General features: G+C 38.2%; 2 protein-coding genes and 1 non-coding gene across 12 annotated transcripts in view, besides 1 other annotated feature; 2 read left to right on the top strand and 1 right to left on the bottom strand.

Moving 5' to 3' along the window:
* The window catches only part of CENPP (centromere protein P), a 295,062-nt gene that overhangs the window by 76,063 nt on the left and 199,450 nt on the right, over positions 1-19,549 (bottom strand). The gene's annotated exons all lie outside the window — the stretch shown is intronic.
* Positions 1-19,549, top strand: part of ECM2 (extracellular matrix protein 2) — a 65,560-nt gene that overhangs the window by 14,640 nt on the left and 31,371 nt on the right. For 5 of the 8 annotated variants that reach the window (XR_007061259.1, NM_001197296.2, NM_001197295.2 and 2 more), the window contains exon 1: positions 8,477-8,534. The gene's annotated coding sequence lies outside the window, so the exon portion shown is untranslated. Of the gene's footprint in view, positions 1-7,762; positions 7,867-8,476; positions 8,535-19,549 lie in introns of those variants that run through there. The other 3 variants (XM_047422899.1, XM_024447435.2, XM_024447436.2) reach the window with 3 other exon arrangements.
* Positions 4,906-5,200: a silencer, noted in NCBI's record as "tiled region #3268; HepG2 Repressive DNase matched - State 9:DNaseU, and K562 Repressive non-DNase unmatched - State 24:Quies". NCBI's record gives its function as "represses a minimal TATA promoter and a strong SV40 promoter by Sharpr-MPRA in HepG2 and K562 cells {active_cell/tissue: HepG2 | K562}" and the evidence as "EXISTENCE:reporter gene assay evidence [ECO:0000049][PMID:27701403]".
* Positions 16,409-16,483, top strand: MIR4670 (microRNA 4670). The gene has a single exon (NR_039817.1). It is a non-coding gene; the product is annotated as a microRNA 4670 (primary transcript).

Genomic DNA, 19,549 nt, shown 5'->3' with positions numbered 1-19,549 from the left:
TCTTGCTCTGTTGCCCAGGCTGGAGTGCAGTGGTGCAATCGTGGCTCGCTGCAACCTCTGCCTCCAAGATTCAAGCGATTCTCGTGCCTCAGCCTCCCAAACAGCTGGGTTTACAGGCATGTGCCAGCACACCCGGCTAATTTTTGTATTTTTAGTAGAGACGGGATTTTGTCAAGTTAGCCAGGCTGGCCTTGAACTCTTGACCTCAAGTGATCCACGTGCCTCAGCCTCCCAAAGTGCTGGGATTATAGGCGTGAGCCACCACGCCCAGCCCAATAAAGATCATTTATGACAAGTGCACAGTTAATATGTCATGCTTAACGATGAAAAGCTGAAAGCATTTCTTCTAAGATCAGGAATAAGACAACAGTGCTGACTCACGCAACTTCTATTCAACATAAAACTGGTAGTCCTAGCCAGAGCAATTAGATAAGAGAAAGAAATAAAAAATATCTAAAATGGAAAGGATAAAGGTACATTTTCTCTGTTTGCAGATGACATCTTATATAGAGAAAATTCTAAAGACTGCACCAAAAAACTGCTAGAATTGATAAATGAATTCAATAAAGTTTGCAAGATACAAAATCAACATACAAAAATCAGTAGCTTTTCTGTATACTAACTAAACTACATGAAAAAGAAATCAAGAAAATTTACAATAGATACGTAATAACAAAATACTTAAGAATAAACATAACCAAGGAGGAGAAAGATCTCTACACTGAAACCTATAAATCGCTGATGAAAGAAACTTAAGACATAAGTAAATGAAAAGATATCTCTTGTTCATGGATTAGAAGCATTAATATTGTTAGAATGACTATACTACCCAAAGTGTTCTACAGATTTTATGTAATTCCTATCGAAATTTCAACTTTTTTTTTCAATGTCATTCTTAACAGAAACAGAAAAACGATCATAAAATTCGTAAGGAATCACAAAAGACCCTGAATAGCTAATGCAATCTTTTTTTTTTTTTTTTTTTTTTTTTTTTTGAGACAGGGTTTCACTCTGTCACCCAGGCTGGAGAGCAGTGGTGAGATTTCTGCTCACTGCAACCTCCACCTCCCAGGTTCAAGTGATCTTCTGCCTCAGCCTCCTGAGTAGCTGAGACTACAGGTACGTACCACCATGCCCAGCCAATTTTTGTATTTTTTGATAGAGATGGGGTTTCACCATGTTGGCCAGGCTGGTCTTGAACTCCTGACCTCAAGTTATCCACCTGCCTTGGCCTCCCAAAGTGCTTGGATTACAGGTGTGAGCCACGAGGCTGGCACCAATGCCATCTTGATCAAAGAAAACAAAGTTGGAGGCATTATACCACCTGACATCAAAATATACTACAAAGCTGTAGTAATCCAAACAGCATAGTACTGGCATAAAAACTGACAGAGACCAATGGAACAGAATAGAGAGCCAAGAAATAAATCCATGCATTTACAGTGAATTGGTTTTTGACAAAAGTGCCAAGAGACACAATGGGGAAAGAAGAGTTTCTTCAATAAATAAATGGTGCTGAGAAAACTGGATATCCACATGTAAAAGAATGAAGTTAGATCCTTATCTGACACCATAAACAGAAATCAACTCAAAATAGATTAATGAATTAAATGTAAGATCTATAAATGATGAAACTACTAGAAGAAAACATAGGGGGCCGGGCGCAGTGGCTCACACCTGTAATCCCAGCGCTTTGGGAGGCCGAGGCCGGTGGATCACGAGGTCAGATCAAGACAATCCTGGCCAGCATGCTGAAACCTTGTCTCTACTAAAATACACAAAATTAGCTGGGTGTGGTGGTGCATGCCTGTAGTCCCAGCTACTGGGGAGGCTGAGGCAGGGGAATTACTTGAACCCGGGAGGCAGAGATTGCAGTGAGCCATGATCGTGCCACTGCACTATAGCCTGGAGCTATAGCTATATGAGACAGAGCGAGACTCCATCTCAAAAAAAAAAAAGAAAGAAAAGAAAACATAGGGGAAATGCTCCATGATATTGGTGTAGGCAATTATTTTTTGAATATAATTCCAAAAGCACAGGCAACAAAAGCAAAAATAGACAAATGAGATTACATCAAATTAAGAAATATCTACACAGTAAACGAAACAACAGAGTTAAGGGACAACATACAAAATGGGAGAAAATATTTGCAAACTATATATCTGATAAGGAGATAATATCCAAAATATATAAGGAACTTGATAGCAAGAAAACAAATAACCCAATCAAGAAAATAGGCAAAGGACTTGAGAATACATCTCCCTTTAAGAAAGGAGCCATTATAGAATACTGTATGGAGGTTCCTCAAAAATTTAAAAAGTAGAACTACCGGATGATCTAACAATCCCACTAATCTCAAAGGAAATAAAATCACAGGCTGGGTGCAGTGGCTCACGCCTATAATCCCAGCACTTTGGGAGGCTGAGGTGTGTGGATCACAAGGTCAGGAGTTTGAGACCAGCCTGGCCAAGATAATGAAACCCCATCTCTATTAAAAATACAAAAATTAGCTGGGTGCGGCGGCGGATGCTTGTAATCCCAGCTACTCATGAAGCTGAGGCAGGAGAATCACTTGAACCTGGGAGGCGGAGGTTGCAGTGAGCCGAGATTGCACCACTGCACTCTAGCCTGGGTGACAGAGCAAGACTCCGTCTCAAAAAAAACAAAAAAGGAAATAAAATCAGTATGTTGCAGGGACAACTGAACTCCCATGTTTACTGCAGCATTATTCACCAGAGCCAGGATATGGAATCAACCTAAGTGTCCATCAGCGAATGAATAAAGAAAATGTATATATGAAAGGAAGCAAATTCTGTTATTTATGACAACATGGATGAACCCGGAGGACATTATGCTAAGTGAAATAAGCCAGGCACAGAAAGACAGATACTGCATGATCTCACTTATATATGGAATCTTAAAAAAAAATCTAACTCAAATTAGCCAGGCACAGTGGCAGGCACCTGCAATCCCAGCTACTCGGGAGGCTGAGGCAGGGGAATCGCTTGAACCAGGAGGGTGGGGGTGTGGGGGTGTGGGCGGGGTGGGGAGGGGGAAGGGGGGTGGCAGTGGAGGTTGCAGTAGAATAGTGGTTACCAGAGGCTAGTGATGGGGAAATGGGGAGATATTAGTCAAAGGGTACAATGTTTTAGTTAGACAGGAGGAATAAATAGTATTTGAGATGATAATTTTTATTTTATTTTATTTTGAGATGGAGTCTCGCTCTGTCACCCAGGCTGGCGTGCAGTGGCGCAATCTTGGCTCACTGCAATCTCCGCCTCCTGGGTTCAAGTGATTGTCCTGCCTCAGCCTTCCGAGTAGCTGGGACTATAGGCACCCGCCACCGCACCTGGCTAATTTTGTTTTTTTAGTAGAGATGGGGTTTCACCATGTTGGCCAGGCTGGTCTTGAACTCCTGACCTTGTGATCTGCCCACCTCGGCCTCCCAAAGTGCTGGGATTACAGGCATGAGCCACTGCCCCCAGCCAATACATTTTTTAAAAAAGAAAAAATCCCCAACTTTTGGCTTTCTAAATCTTTTCTCCTTCATATTTGTTTTTTACTTTATCGATATTTTTGCTCTTTAATATTTTTAGCAAACACTCGCAAGGCAAAAGGCTGCTCACAGTTATCTCCTGATCTAGGTCCAGTGATTCCTTATTATATTCTCACTTCATTGATGATTTTTTTTTTTTTGAGACAGAGTCGTGCTCTGTTGCCCAGGCTAGAGTGCAGTGGTGTGATCTCGGCTCCCCACAACCTCTGCCTCCCAGGTTCAAGTGATTCTCCTGCCTCAGCCTCCCGAGTAGCTGCGACTACAGGCGCGTGCCACCATGCTCGGCTAATTTTTGTATTTTTAGTAGAGACGGGGTTTCACTATGTTGGCCAGGCTGGTCTTGAACTCCTAACCTTGTGATCCACCCACCTTGGCCTCCCAGAGTGCTGGGATTACAGGCATGAGCCACTGCCCCCAGCCTTCATTGATTATTTTAAGATGTTTTTATATGTGATCTCATTTTTTTTTTTTTTTTGAGACAGTCTCGCTCTGTCGTCCAGGCTGGAGTGCAGTGGCATGATCTCGACTCACTGCGACCTTTGCCGCCTGGGTTCAAGGGATTCTCCTGCCTCAGCCTCCCAAGTAGCTGGGACTACTGGCGCATGCCACCTTGCCTGGCTAAGTTTTTGTATTTTTAGTAGAGACAGGGTTTCATCATGTTAGCCAGGATGGTCTCAATCTCCTGACCTCATGATCCACCAGCTTCGGCCTCCCGAAGTGCAGGGATTACAGGCATGAGGCACCGCGCCCGGCTGATCTCATTTCTTTCTTACTTCAATGGGAAGGTTGGTATCAAACTATCAGTATTGGATATAGAAAACTGAAATTTTAACTGTGCACTTTAAAAATTTATGCCACTTATATGTATTACCCATTCAAAAATGTGAAAACTGTTTAAAAAATAAAGTGGCAGGGAAATGGGCATTTTATATATTTCTGGTGAAAGTATACATTATTTACTATAACCTTTTTGGAAAGCAACCTGGAAATGCGTACACAAACTCAAAAAGCCCATTCTATTTGAGGGGGGAAAGGGGAAACAACCCAAATGTCCATCAATAGGGGAATGGTTGAATGAGTTGTGGGATACTTATATATCATTACTCCACTTAAATGTAATATTCCATTGGGAAAGTAAGTTCAGCTAAAGTAAATGAAGCAACTGTAACACTTTAGTATAGCTTAAAAGGCATTTGAACTATGGGCCAAGAGGTCAGTCCTAGAACAAAGTCCATACTACTCCTCCCCTCACTTAGCATCCTCTCCATCTTCCTCCTACCAATCTAGCCACTAACCCTGCTTATCTTCCAGAAATTTAGGTTAAACAAGACCAAGAGCCTTCAAAGCCCTTAGTAAGTAGGCTATACTTAATTTCTGCAAACCCAAGGACTGCAAAACTCTACTCTGCATCAACTGAACGCAAATCAATCACTTTAATTAAGCTGAGCCCTTACTAGATAAATGGGACTCAAACCCATAAAAATGTAGTTAACAGCTAAATACCCTAATCAACTGGCTTCAATCTACTTCTTCCACAGGCAGTGGGTTGGGGTGGGGGGTGGGGGAGCGGGGGAAGGCGGGAGAAACCTGGCAGGATTGAAGCTGCTTCTTTGAATTTGCAATTCAACATGAAAGTCACCTCCGGGCTGGTAAAAAGAGGTTTAGCCTCTGTCCTTAGATTTACAGTCTAATGCTTTACTCAGCCATTTTACCTCGCCCTACTCCACTTACGTTGGCCAACCGTTGACTATTCTCAACTAACCATAAAGATACCGGAACATTGTACCTAATATTCAGTGCGTGGGCAGGGGTTGTAGGCACAGCTTTAAGCCTCCTTATTCGGGCTGAACAAGGTAAAACTAATTTCTGAGTATGGCCCTACTTAAAATTTCCAAAATTTACCTTTATTTGGGTATTAATATCTACAAAGCTGTCATATGGTAGACAATTGCATCCTTAAAAAAAACCCCAATTTATTGGTACTCTAGACAATCAGGAAAAATACTGAAAAGGTGATTTTACTTAAATATCACCTGAAAGAAATGTCCTAGAGTCTAAATCTTCATAGGCAGATGGCCCTGTGGCACGGGTAATGCTCACTCTGCTCATGTTGTTTGGTGACCAATACCACATTCCTGCAGAGTGTTGTCAGAACCAAGTTTTGGGACATAATCATGTCTGCAATAATAAAGGGGGTAGGAGAAACCATAATACCAGCATTTTCCATGTGCTAGTGTGGTTAAAATAGTTTCTGCAAAAGGACTCATGTAACAGTCCATTAAACCACAAAATTTTAGAGCAGGAACCTCAGAAATTATAAAATTTGGTTTTCTGCAACCTTCTCAATCTCATCGTGGTAATTACTGGTATTCCTCAGTGCTGTTACTTTAAGAGTTACTTCTTTTTTGATTGTTTGTATTCTTTTTAAGTTATTCTTATCTGATTATACAAAGCTCAAAACATGATAAAAATATAAAAGAACATAGTAAAAGTCTCGCTGTAATTACTGTTAATATTTTGTTGTTTATTCCTTCCAATTTGTTCTCTAGTAAAATGCTAAATTACATACATCAAAAGAAGGTAAGATCATAATACATGTACAGTTTTGAAAATCTCTTTATTCCTGGTATAGCATGGACAACTATGCATGGTGGTATTAATGGAGTTACTTCTGTTTCTCCAAATAGCTTTATGGTAAGCCCACTTTGTTCTCTATCTATACACAACTGGGTTAACTTTTTTTCTAATCCATGGTTACAGTACTTCAGAGTACTTCCTTGAAGGCACACTTTTGTACAGAAAGAGGTGTTTCTACAATGGGTTCCTAGAGGTGAAATGGTAGGACAGACAGCATAGCTACTGTTCAGCTGTCCTCAAGGAAGAGGAGAGTTTCTGTTTTCCCTACACACTGGCCAACACAGCATATCATCAACATTTTTTTCCCCCAAAAAACAATGTATGTATTTCAAATCAGGCCATGATTTTTGATTAGCAGTGGTCTTCAAGCTTGATTGAGCATTGGCATTATTTGGGTAATTTTTCTACCCCCAAAGTTTTGTCAGCAACATCTCACTATGGTAGTGAAAAAATAACCTTCCTGTTTTAATTTACTTTTCTTGACTGTTACTGAGATTGAGAAATCTTCCTCTTCTGTTTTATTGACCACTGACATTTCCTCTTCTATGAACTGCCTGTTTAATGGTGTTTGCTCATTTGTACTCATCTTTTTCTTTTCTTTTCTTTTCTTTTTTGAGATGTAGTCTCGCTCTGTTGCCCAGGCTGGAGTGCAATGGCACAATCTTGGCTCACTGCAACCTCCGCCTCCTAGGTTCAAGTGATTCTCCTACCTCAGCCTCCTGAGTAGCTGGGACTACAGGCATGTGCTACCATACTCGGCTAATTTTTGTACTGTTAGTAGAGACGGGGTTTCACATGTTGGCCAGGCTGGTCTCAAACTCCTAACCTCAGGTGATCCACCTGTCTCTGCCTCCCAAAGTGCTGGGATTACAGGTGTGAGCCACTGCACTCAGCTAGTTTTACATTTTTAAAAATAGATATCATTTTCCTTATTTTTAGGAAGTTGAGTGGCTTATGTATTTAGTCCCTTATCTTGATTCAGTCTATCTAGGTCATTTTACAAAATCCTGATTCAGTCTAACCACGTCATTTAAACAAATATTTAGCTCCTCTTTGCCAAATGATTTGGACCCCTGAAATAACGATATAAGAATTTCAGGCCAGGTGCGGTGGCTCATGCCTGTAATCCCAGCACTTTGGAAGGCCGAGGTGGGTGGATCACATGAGGTCAAGAGTTCGAGACCAGCCTGGCCAACATGGTGAAACCCCATCTCTACTAAAAAAAAAAATACAAAAATTAATCTGGCATGGTGGCAGGCGCCTTTAAGCCCACCTACTCGGGAAGCTGAGGCAGGAGAATCCCTTGAACCTGGGAGGCGGAGGTTTCAGTGTGCTGAGATCACGACATTGCACTCTAGCCTGGGCAACAGAGCAAAAACTCCCGTCTCAAAAAAAAAAAAAAAATTTAAAAAATAGTTCTAAAATTACCTAGTCTAGGATAGGCACTGAGTTAGGACCTTCATATCTGTTATTCCTTTTATTTTCAGAAAAATTTGAAAGGTATCACCCTAGTTTTACAGAAGAGTGAACTTTGGTCAGAAACATTAAGTAACTTACTCAAGGTCCCTCATAAACAGCAGGGTTGCGCTTGGAATCCTGATCTGTCTCTAACTTCTCATTTGCAGATAAAGAAACTGAGGCCAAAGTACACAACTAATTTGCCAGCGTAACAGGTAATTAGGAGCCACACAGCTCCCTTTCACATTTTCTTTCTATTATTTCATGGTTAGAAGTTACATAATTTCCACTGATATTAATACGTAACCATTTTTTTGTTGTTGTCGTTTTGTTAGTATTGTGTGTGAGATCGAGGTGGGTGGGCAGATGAGTTAAATATTATTAATCCAATTTAAAATAGATTCCAGATATACACAGCCTTTAGCTGACGAGAATATCATCCCTATAATCTGATAAAGCTCAAGTGACATCATCCTGGCTAGTATAAACTTTAACATTTTTAATGCGAATAGTCTATGAAAACCACAGATTTCTTAATCAAGCTCATTTTTGTGTTTCCAACTCTGCCTTTTCAGCCTGCAAACAAAATGCTCTTCCCCCACACCCACTGCTGTTTTCTACTTTTCTTATGATTAAAAAAAATATTTCCCTTGGTAACCATTTTCCCTGGTTACTTTCTTGGCTGATTTTCTGCACAAAGAACTGAAAGGCATTTATCCCCAAGGGAGGCAGTTATTTTAGATTTTACTAAGAAGTTCAGCAAATACTTTTCAACATTCCCTTCTGTCCTTTCTTTGTTTTTAAAGAAAGCTCTGATTTTGTTTCATTTTCAGCTGGAGACTTAAATGACACCAAGCAAAGCCTACTTAGTTTAGATCTCCAGGTAAAAAAGTTTTAAATTTTAAGTTTCTACTTAGCATGTGGAATGGTTTTAATATTTGGGTATTTTATTTCACAACTGTTTAACTCTTGAGTAAATTAGCTCGTTACTAATAGATTTTTAAAGTTCAAAGTATGCATTATTCTGTTTGTTTTTTTCACGATGTACTTCCCAAGTATTTCAGACCTTGTATACTTAGTATTAAATTATTTTTATATGTTTAGGTGGAATTATGTGTTCAATAGAAGTATAAATTGGTTTGAAAATATTATTAATTTTTAAGTCCTAAAAGAACATAAATAATTCAAAATATTTTTCATTTTAAATCTGTTGAATGAAGTGAAAATAGATAATAGACATCTCATGACTTCATGTAGAATTTTAAAATTCTAAATTAATATTTTTAAAGTTTACTTAAGATAACTGGTAAGAAATTTTAAATGAAGAAAAATAAGTTAATCAAGGTTTATAAATAATATTTAATGTTGGGATAAACACAGTAAGTGCTAGAAGGAAAAAAATTACTTGATAAAAATGATACTATGATTGGAATCCCAGAAAATTTACCTCTAGGAGGCAAACACTCAATTACGAAGTTGTTTATGAAAGCAAATATTAAGTGCAAAGCAAAATTCTGTATATCAATGAAAATAATGAGGGCCTAAGCATTAATAGTAAAATTAGTATTGAGAGACCATTTCCTAAAATGTATTTAAACACTGTAGTGAGACTGTTTAGATACTGATTTTGTCAAAATTCAAATAGCTCTGTAAGTTTATTTCTGTGCCTATCTATTTAGATTTCTGGGTAAGTAAAAGTGAGTCAATTTGGGGGAAAAAAAGAAAGAGAGGTAGTTTCCAGAATGAGGATACTGGGAGAGAGGGGTGTGCTCAGAATGGCCACAGCTGGCACATTCACACTCCTAAGCACTCAATCAGGCAATGCCCCATAAGTGAGTGCTTTCAGGATGCCTCAGGACAGCAGGATGCCTGAGACCCTCATGAGAGTTTAACTCTAGAGCCTCGAGGTCTAGGCCCTGACTCCTCACAACAGGATGGAAGGTCTGCACATACAATTGTTAATGCAAGAAAATTTCAATGTATACATTTCATGCATTGCAGAGCACTTATGATATCCATCAGAGCACACTTGCCATGCCACTCAGCAAATTCTAGTTTCACTTTGTCTCTCAGTTCAGGTTTTCATATTGCTTTCCCCTGCTGTTGTTGTTATTCCCTTCCAACATACTACTTTGCTCTCTGAATTGACTTTTATGATTTCAGGTGCCAATCAGCTAATGGATTTGGTCCTTCTTTACATGCTGCATGTTAATTTTTCTAAAACTAAAGTAGATTGCAAAAAGTTGTTCAAAAAGTTGTTCCAGTAACCTATGAAATATAGGTCATTTCAATAACCTATAGTAATGGTTTTCAAATGACTGTGGCAATTAATGTATATATACGCTGAAGAAAGGTTTGTATGCTGGCATGAAGATACTTTAGAGACTGCCGTTTGTTGAACAAAGGTGATGTGGCAAGTCAGACTATGAACTAACTAAGTGAAACCTGACTAGAGGAAGATGATTCTGGCAGATGAAGTTATAAAAAGAAGTACTGAGATTCAAGAGGGGAAACTGAGCTGACCTTGTGCCCTCTTCCCCTCTCACCAACTCCCTTGAAATAATACAAGATATATTACAGACAAATAAATGCACGAATATACAGCTACACTAGGAAATAAAAAGGGGAGCTCCTGGTGGGACAGACACTCTGAGGAGTCCTTCACAGACAAAGAGAAGACAGAAATGAATTTAAAGAGGAAAAATGTACCCTTGAACAGTCATGGGAGAAAACAGAGTGAAGAGAGCTTGTATAGGAAAAAAAGAAGTTTTTAGTTTAAAAGATCCCAAGAAGGATACATTAAACAGCAAAAACAACCTATACCAAGGTACATTCCATTCTTTTACCAAGGTAAAACTTCCAAATATCAAAGATATGTTGAAAATTTGAAAAAAATTTCTATAGAAAGAAAAAAAATTTCTTACAAAGGGATGAGAATCAGATTCAAGTCAAATTTCTCATCGGCAACACTAAATATAAGAAATAATGGACAAATATCTATAAGGTATTAAAGAAAAATGATTAGAATGATTTTGAAACCGTAATTCTGTTTCCAATTAAACAATGACATTTTCAGATCTTTAATAAGAGCACAGAATTTTACAACTTACAACATTCTCTGAGAAAAAGAGGATATATTTCTGCAAGAAATAAAAGGAATCTGAGGGAGCTTCTCCTTCTGATAATGGCAGACAAGGCAAGTCAGATCATTAGACCTGCTGAGAATAACTAGAAAGGGTGAGAAAAACAACAGGGCCAATATTTGGGATGGGACTGAAACCCAGAGAGGTTTAGAACAGTTTTTCTTCTAGAAGCATCTGGATTCCAGAAGAGGTGGTTGAGAAGATTAATAGAGTTTTAAAACAGCCTCAGGAGGACAGAGAGAAACAAACAAACAAACAAAATGGAGGCAAGCAAGCAGTGGGGGATGGTAGGAAAAGTGAAGTGGACCCAAAGCATATATATATATATATATATATATATATATTTTTTTTTTTTTTTTTTTTTTTTTTGTTTGAGACCGAGTCTCACTCTATCGCCCAGGCTGGGGTGCAGTGGTGTGATCTCGGCTCACTGCAACCTCCACCTCCCGGGTTCAAGTGATTCTCCTGCCTCAGCTTCCTGAGTATCTGGGACTACACGCGCGTGCCACCACACCCAGCTAATTTTTTTTGTATTTTTAATAGAGACGGGGTTTCACCATATTGGCCAGGCTGGTCTCAAACTCCTGACCTTGTGATCCGCTAGCCTTGGCCTCCCAAAGTGCTGTCATTACAGACTTGAGCCACCGCACCCAGCCCAAAGCATAATTATTAATTCAATATGGTGAAGCCCAGCTTCAAATCACTCAATATTCTATTCATAATGTACTTAACCTTATGCCTGAAACAGACGCAAATTCTCAAGTATTTTCATATACAATATCTGGCACTCCATCAAAGGTCATCAGGTATATGAAGAGACAAAACATGGCTAAAAACCTAAAGAAATAAGAGACAACCGAAATAGACACATAGAGGATCCAGAAAACCTAGTCTTCAGACACAGACTTTAAAACAAATATTTTTAATATGTTTAAAAAAATAAAAGATGAGATTAAAATTTTTAACAAAGAATTGGAAACAAAAAGAACATACTGAAAACCTGAAAACTAGAAAATACAATAAAAGAACAAGGAAGTCAATGGATAGATTTAATAGCAGATAAATCACAGATGAAGAGAGTATCAATGAACTGGAAGATCAGTTCAGAGAATAACCAGGATGAATCACTGAAGAGATAGACAAACAAAAAATACAAATGAGGGGAAAGTGACATTAAAGACACAATGAGAAAGCTGATATGCAAGTACCTGTAGTTATAGAAAGAATGAAAAAAGGGAAAAGAGAATGTACTATTTGTATAGTTAAGGGCTGAGAAGTTTCCAAATGTGATGAATAACATCAGGCCACAAATTCAAGAAGTGCCAAATAGGATAAAAACAAGAAAATTATATCTTTGTATACAGAGTGAAACAGCTGAAAACCAAAGACAATGAGAACATCTTAAAAACAGTGAGAGAAAAAAAATTACTTTTAAAAGTGAAAAAATTAGATTGAGAGATGATTTCTCAAAACAAACAATGGAAAAAAGAAGACATAGAAATTGTATCTTCGAGCCGGGTGTGGTAGTTCGTGCCTGTAGTCCCAGCTACTCGAAAGGTTGAGTCAGGTGGATCGCTTTAGCCTAGGGATTCAAGGCCAGCCCAGGCAACATAGTGAGACCTCATCTCAAAAAAAAAATAAAATAAAAAAAAAAAAACATTAAATAAAAAAAGAAAAAGAAAAGTAGGTGGGAAGAAGGCAACAATAAAATACTGGAAGCTAGGAAGGAAATGAAAGTGTAGGGGGAAAAAATCAACCGTATCTTCACAATGCTGAAAGAAAACACTTGTCAACCCCAGAATGTATATCTAACAAATACATCCTTTCAGGTAAACAAAAATAACTGATCAACACATCTGCACAAAAGGAATTATTAGAAGGTGATCTTCAGTCAAGAAGAAAATAATCCTAATAGAAGAAAGTAGATATAGGAAGGAACGAAGGAAAATGATAAATGTTTAGGTAAACCTAAACAAGTGGTTCTCAATTGAGGGGCGGGTTACATTTGGTAATGCCTGGAAACATTCTTTGGTTGTCACAACTAGGAGGAAGGTACTAATGGCATCTAGTGGGTAGAGGCCACGGATTGCTGATAAATAGCCTATAATATACAGGGCATCTCCCCATAAAAAAAGAATTATCTGGCGCAAAACGTTAATAGTGATGAGGATGAAAAATCTGATCTAAATAAACTTTGACAAAATAAAAATAATCTTTTGAGGGTTTAAAAATACATATATAATTAAAACACAGAACTGAAACAGAATATATACTGGGATAGGGTAAATGGAGTTGAAGTTCATCCTGGTTCTTGTATTGTCCAGGAAGAGGTAAAGGTACTAATTTATATTAAGACTTTGATAAGTCAAGGATGTATGTGGTAATCTCTACAAAGAAAAGAATGGTAAAAAGTGTATAATTACTAATGAAATAATAAAAACCAAGCAACAAGTTAAAAAGAAAGAAAACAGAAAAAGGAACATAGAACATGTAGGACAAATAAAAAGCAAATAGAAAGTATATTTCAATTCAAACATTAAATTTTACATTAAATATAAACAGCCTAAATGTTCCAATTAAAAGACAAAAATTGTTAAACTGCATTAAAAAACTCCACAATATGCCACTAATAGGAAGTATACTGAAAATATAAAAATATAGAAAGACAGCAAAACATATATTTTGCAGACATTAATCAAAAGAAAGCAATTACATGCAGGAGCAGAAAACCAAAGACCACATGTTCTCCCTTATAAGTAAGAGCTAAACATTGGGTACTCATGGGCATAAAGATGGCAACAATAGACATGGGAAGAAGGCAGGGAGAGGAACAAGGATTGGAAAACTGTTGGGTACTATGCTCAGTACCTGGGTGATGGGATCATTCATATCCCAAACTTCAGTACCACATAATATACTCAGTTAACAAACCTGCATACAACCCTCCTGAATCTAAAAAGTCAAAAAAGAAAAAAAATGCAACTACATTAATATTAGACAAAGTAGATCTTATAGCAAAAGCACTCCCGGAGACACTGAAAGTATCCACCTAATGATAAATGCACCAGAAAGATATAACGACTAAATTTGTACATACCTACAATCATTAGGACAAACAAGGCAAATTATTAGGACAATTTGAACAAATAGGTTAATAGTATTAAAGTCTTTAAAATCCTTATTGATATTCTGTCTACTAATTAAAAAATATTAATTACTTTTTATTGGCATAAAATGACTACTAATTTTTTAACAGACTTTTTTTCAAAGCAGTTTTAGATTCAGAGCAAACTGAGTGGAAAGTACAGAGTTCTCATATGTGCTTTTCCCCTACTATCAAAATCTCACACCATGGATAAATCTATGCTGACATATCATTATCACCCAATGTCCATAGTTTACATTAGGGTTCACTCTTGTTACTCTGTATTCTTGGGTTTTGACAAATTTTTAATGACATGTACCCACCTTTATAGTACTGTCGTCCCTTGGTACCCTTGGGGGACTGGTTCCAGGATCCCTCAAGGACACCAAAATCTGAGGCTGCTCAAGTTCCTTATATAAAATGGTGTAGTATTTGCATATAATACACATATCCTCCTGTATACTTTAAATAATCTCTAGATTACTTACACCTAATACACTGTATAGGCTATGTAAGTAGTTGTTATACTGTATCATTTAGGGGACAATGACAAGAAAAAAAAGTCTGCATATGTTCAGCACAAAAGCTACATAGGCCAAACTACATTTTTCGCTCATGGTTGGTTGAATCCACAGATGCAGAACCTGTGATATAAAGGGCTGACTATACTGTATCAGAAGAGTTTCACTGCCCTAAGAATCCTCTGTGTTCCACCTATTCATCCCTCTCCGCCCCAAATTCACTATTCTTTTATAGCTTGCATAGTTTTGCCCTTTCTAGAATGTCATAGAGTTGAAATCATACATATGCCATCTCAGGTTGGCTTATTTCATTTAGTTATATATTATATGCATTTAAGGTTCTTCCATGTATTTTCATGGCTTGATGGCTCATTTCTTTTTGGTGTTGAATAATATTCCATTGTCTGAATATACCATAGTTTTTTTTCCATTCACCTATTGAAGAACATGTTGGTTGCTTCTAAGTTTTGGCAATTATGAATAAAGCTCCTATACATATCTGCGTGCAGGTTTTTGTGTGGACATAGATTTTCATCTTATTTGGGTAAATACCAAGGGGCACGATTGCTGGGTTGTATGGCAACAGTATGTTAAGTTTTAAAAGAAACTGCCAAAGTGTCTTCCAAAGTGGCTGTACCATTTTGCATTCCCACCAGCACCGAATGAGACTTACAGTTGCTCCACACACTCACCAGCACTGGGTGTTGTCAGTGTTTTGGGTTTTAGACATTTGGTAGGTATGTAGAGGCATCTCATTTTAATTTGTAATCTGTCTACTATTTTTGAAACTAATATTTAGGATTGAAGTGTTGAAATTTTGGATGACAATTGTGGATTTGTCTATTTCTTTTTGCAGTTTTTGAAAACAAGTTTACCAATTATTTTTGGTAATGTCTAATCTGCTATTCATCCCTTGTCATGTATTTTTTCTCTCTCACATTGTAGTTTTCATCTTTAAAAGTTTGATTTGGGTTTTTAAAAATATCTTCTATGTTTCTACATTACATGGTTAATCCTTCTTCTCACTTCTTGAACATATAGAATATAGGTATAATGATTTTTAAACACCTACTTTATTAGTATATCAGCACTGTCATTTCTGAACTGGTTTCAATAAACTGATTTTTCCCATTATGGGTCAACTTTTCCTGTTTCTTTGTGTACCTGGTAAATTTACATTGGATCCTAAAACATTTGTTGGGTTATCTGAGACACTGTCAAGTTATTGTACGCAGTTTAATTCTTTCAGAAAGGCTTGCTTTTAAGCTTTATTAAATGGGATCACAGCAGCCTTTAGCCTAGGGCTAATTATTTTCCTCTACTGAGCTAATGCTCTTCTGAGTACTCTACCAGATGCCCTGTGAATTGTAAGGTTTTCCACTCTGACTGGTGGAACACAAACTCTTCCTGGTCTTTTTTAAGCTCCAGAGACCTGTTTTTTTTGTTTTGTTTTGCTTTGTTTTCCCCTTTGTCCTTTAGGTTAGTTCTTTTCCCAGTCTCAAGTATTAATAGTTTACTTACATACATGTGCTATCCAGTACTCAGTGGAAGACTTCACATCTCTGGAAGGGTTCCTCTGGGCTAGCTCTCACCTCTCTGTACTCTGCCCTAGGAACACTAGTCTCTTTGGTGTCCTCAGATTTCCAGCTGTATCTTTTCAACTTATGGAGACTGCTGGACTCTGCCTGTGTTCCCCTCACTGCAACTCCCTTGAGGGAGTAAGCAGGTCAATCACAGGTCTCTCCGGGCATTTGATTTGCATCCCCTTTCAGGGATCACTGGCCTGGACTGCTCTTTGTTTAATGTTTGGAAAATGCTTCAGATATATGTTGCTCTATTTTTAAGTTGTTTCAGGTGGGAAGGTATACGTAGTCCCTATTACTCCATGTTGGCTGGGAGTCAGATTTGATAAGTTTTGTCATAATACTGGTGTAATGGCTGAATGATTCTCTAGGAAGCGACCATGATGTAACTTCACAGACTCTCCAAAAGTCTGAAGTTACATCATGGTCGCTTCCTAGAGTATCATTCTACTTCATGGAGCCACTCTGGTTACTAGTTGTCAAACTAGTAGGAATGTTGTTATGGCAATACAGGGAAGGTGATCTCCACAAAACCATGCTCATTTTCTTGGCCTTCAGGTGATATACTGTATGCAGAATGTAAAAAATAGGTCAGTTAGTGACATCTGTACTTAGGCCAAGGACCCAGGATGGCAGCCATATGTTTGCTACTACCATTGTAGGTTTCTACTAAGAAACAATCACAATATTTGCCAAGACTTAGCACTGATCACCCTGCATTTCCTAAACATTTGGGTGGTAGACACTGTGGCTTGAGGAAGGCATTCATTACCCTGAGCTCATGCTCATGGTTTTCAGTTTAGATACCCTTGGAATTTCCCACAGCTTGTCTTAGGTTGTGAAGCAGACTTCTAAGAATCTGGATATCAACAAATTACAGTCATATGTCACTTAGCGACAAGGATACATTCTGAGAAATGTGATGTTACATGATTTTGTTGTCATACATCATAAAGTGTACTTACACGAACCTAGATGGGACAACCTACTATACACCTAGGCTATATGGTAGAGCCTATTGCTCCTAGGCTACAAACCTGTACAGCCCATGACTGTACTGAAAACTGTAGGCAACTGGAACAGAATGGTATTTGTGTATCTAAACATATCTAAAGCCAGGTGTGGGGGCTCATGCCTGTAATCCTAGCACTTTGTGAGGCTGAGGTGGGTGAATCACTTGAGCTCAGGAGTTTGAGACCTGCCTGGGCAACATAGTGAAATCCTGTCTCTACAAAAAAAATATAAAAATCAGCTGGGCATGGTGGCACGGGTCTGTAGTCCCAGCTACTCGGGAGGCTGAGGTGTGAGATTGGCTCGAGCCCAGGAAGCGGAGGTTGCAGTGAGCTGAGATGGTGCCACTGCACTCCAGCCTGGGTGGCAGAGCCAGACCCTGTCTCTAAATAAATAAATAAATAAATAATAAACATATCTACACATAGGAAAGGTATGGTAAGAATATGGTCTAAAATAATTTAAAAAATGGTACACTATCTAGGGTACTTACCATGAATGGAGCTTGGAAGACTGGAAGTCACTCCGGTGAGTCAGTGAGTGAGTGTGAAGGCCTAGGACATTACTATACACTACTGTAAATTTTATAAACACTGTACACTAAGAGTCTACTAAATTTATAAAAAAGTTTTTTTATTTCTTCAATAATGAATTAACCTTAGCTTACTGTAATTTAACTTTATATACTTTTTATTTTTTAAAAAATTTTGACTCTTTTGTAATAGCATTCCTCTTTTTTTTCTTTGTCTAAAGGCTTCTTGATTTTTTTAATCGTTTCAGAAAACTTTTCATTTCATTCCTCTTTTCTATAGTTTTTTTGGTTTCTATTCTGATCTTTATTATTTCTTTTTTTCCACTAATTTTGGGTTTGGTTTGCTGTTGCTTTTCTAGTTCTTTACGATGTATTATTAGGTTGTTTATATGAAGTTTTTCTACTTGTTGATGTAGGTGTTTATTGCTGTAAACTTCCCTCTTAGTACTGCTTTTGCTGTATCCCATAGGTTTTGGTGTGCTGTGTTTTCATCTTCATTTGTTTCAAGAATTTAAAAAAATTCCTTCTTAATAACACTTGGCTTAAAACACAAATACATTGTACAGTTGTACAAAAATATTTTCTTTCTTTATAGCGTAATTTTGTAAGCTTTTTTCTATTTTTATTTTTTAACTTTTCAAACATTTTTGTTAAAAACTGAGACAAACACGCATTAGCCTAGGCCTTCATTGGGTCTGGATCATCAATATCACTGTCTTCCCCCTCCATATCTTGTCCCACTGGAAGGTCTTCATGGGTAATAACACTCATGATAAGAATGCCTTCTTCTGAAATACCTCCTGAAGGAACCACCTCAGGCTGTTGCGCAGTTAATGTTTGTTTAAATAGATAGAAGGCATGTACTCTAAAACAATGATAAAAAGTATAGTATAGTAAATACATAAACCAGTAATATAGTTGTATATGAAAGTATTATGTACTGTACTGTACATAATTGTATGTGCTTTTTTTTTTTTTTTTTTTTTTGGAGATAGAGTCTCTCTGCACTCTGGGCATGGTGGTGCATACCTGTAGTCCTAGCTACTCAGTGCAACCTCCGCCTCCCGGGTTTAAGCGATTCTTCTGTCTCAGCCTCCCGAGTTGCTGGGATTACAGGCGTGCACCACCACACACAGCTAATTTTATATTTTTAGTAGAGATGGGGTTTCACCATGTTGGGCAGGCTGGTCTCGAACTCCTGACCTCAGGTGATCCACCCACCTTGGCCTCCCAAAGTGCTGGGATTATAGGCTTGAGCCACCGCGCCCAGCCTGTGCTGTATTTTTATATGACTGGAAGTGCAGTAGGTTTGTTTATACCAGCATCACCACAAACATTATGAGTAATGCGTTATGCTATGATGCTGTGACGTCTCTAGGCAATAAGAGATTTTCAGCTCCATTATAATTTTATGGGACCATCATGGTATATGCAATTTGTCACTGACAAAAAAGTCATTATGTGGTACATGACTGTACTTTCTTTGGTCAAATGGTCAGACAGAAAGATTGAGTCAAATGCTTGCAGGGTCTTTCAGGTTTTTTCTTTTCTTTTTTTTTTTTTGAGACAGAGTCTCGCTCTGTTACCCAGGCTGGAGTACAGTGCTGCAATCATTGCTCACTGCAACCTTGAACTTCTGGGCTCAAGTGAGCCTCCTGCCTCAGCCTCCTGAGTAGCTAGGACTACAGGTATGCACCACCATGCCCAGCTAATTTTTTATGTTTTAGTTGAGACAAGGTCTTGCTATGTTCCTTACTCTGGTCTTAAACTCCTGGCCTCAAGCAATCCTCCCACCTTGGTTTCGGCCTCCTATAGGGCTGGGATTACAGGCATGAGCCACAGTGCCTGGCCTCTCAGGTATTTTCTGAGGTTCCAACAAGATGACTGGGTTAGCAGTCTATGGCCACTTATCCCTTAATCCTTCAATGCCTCTCCTTTGCAGTTTAGGGTATTCATCTCTGTA

This window comes from Homo sapiens, chromosome 9, assembly GCF_000001405.40.
Source record: "Homo sapiens chromosome 9, GRCh38.p14 Primary Assembly".
NCBI classification, from domain to species: Eukaryota; Metazoa; Chordata; class Mammalia; order Primates; family Hominidae; genus Homo; species Homo sapiens.
This window is presented reverse-complemented; position numbering and strand designations above follow the sequence as displayed.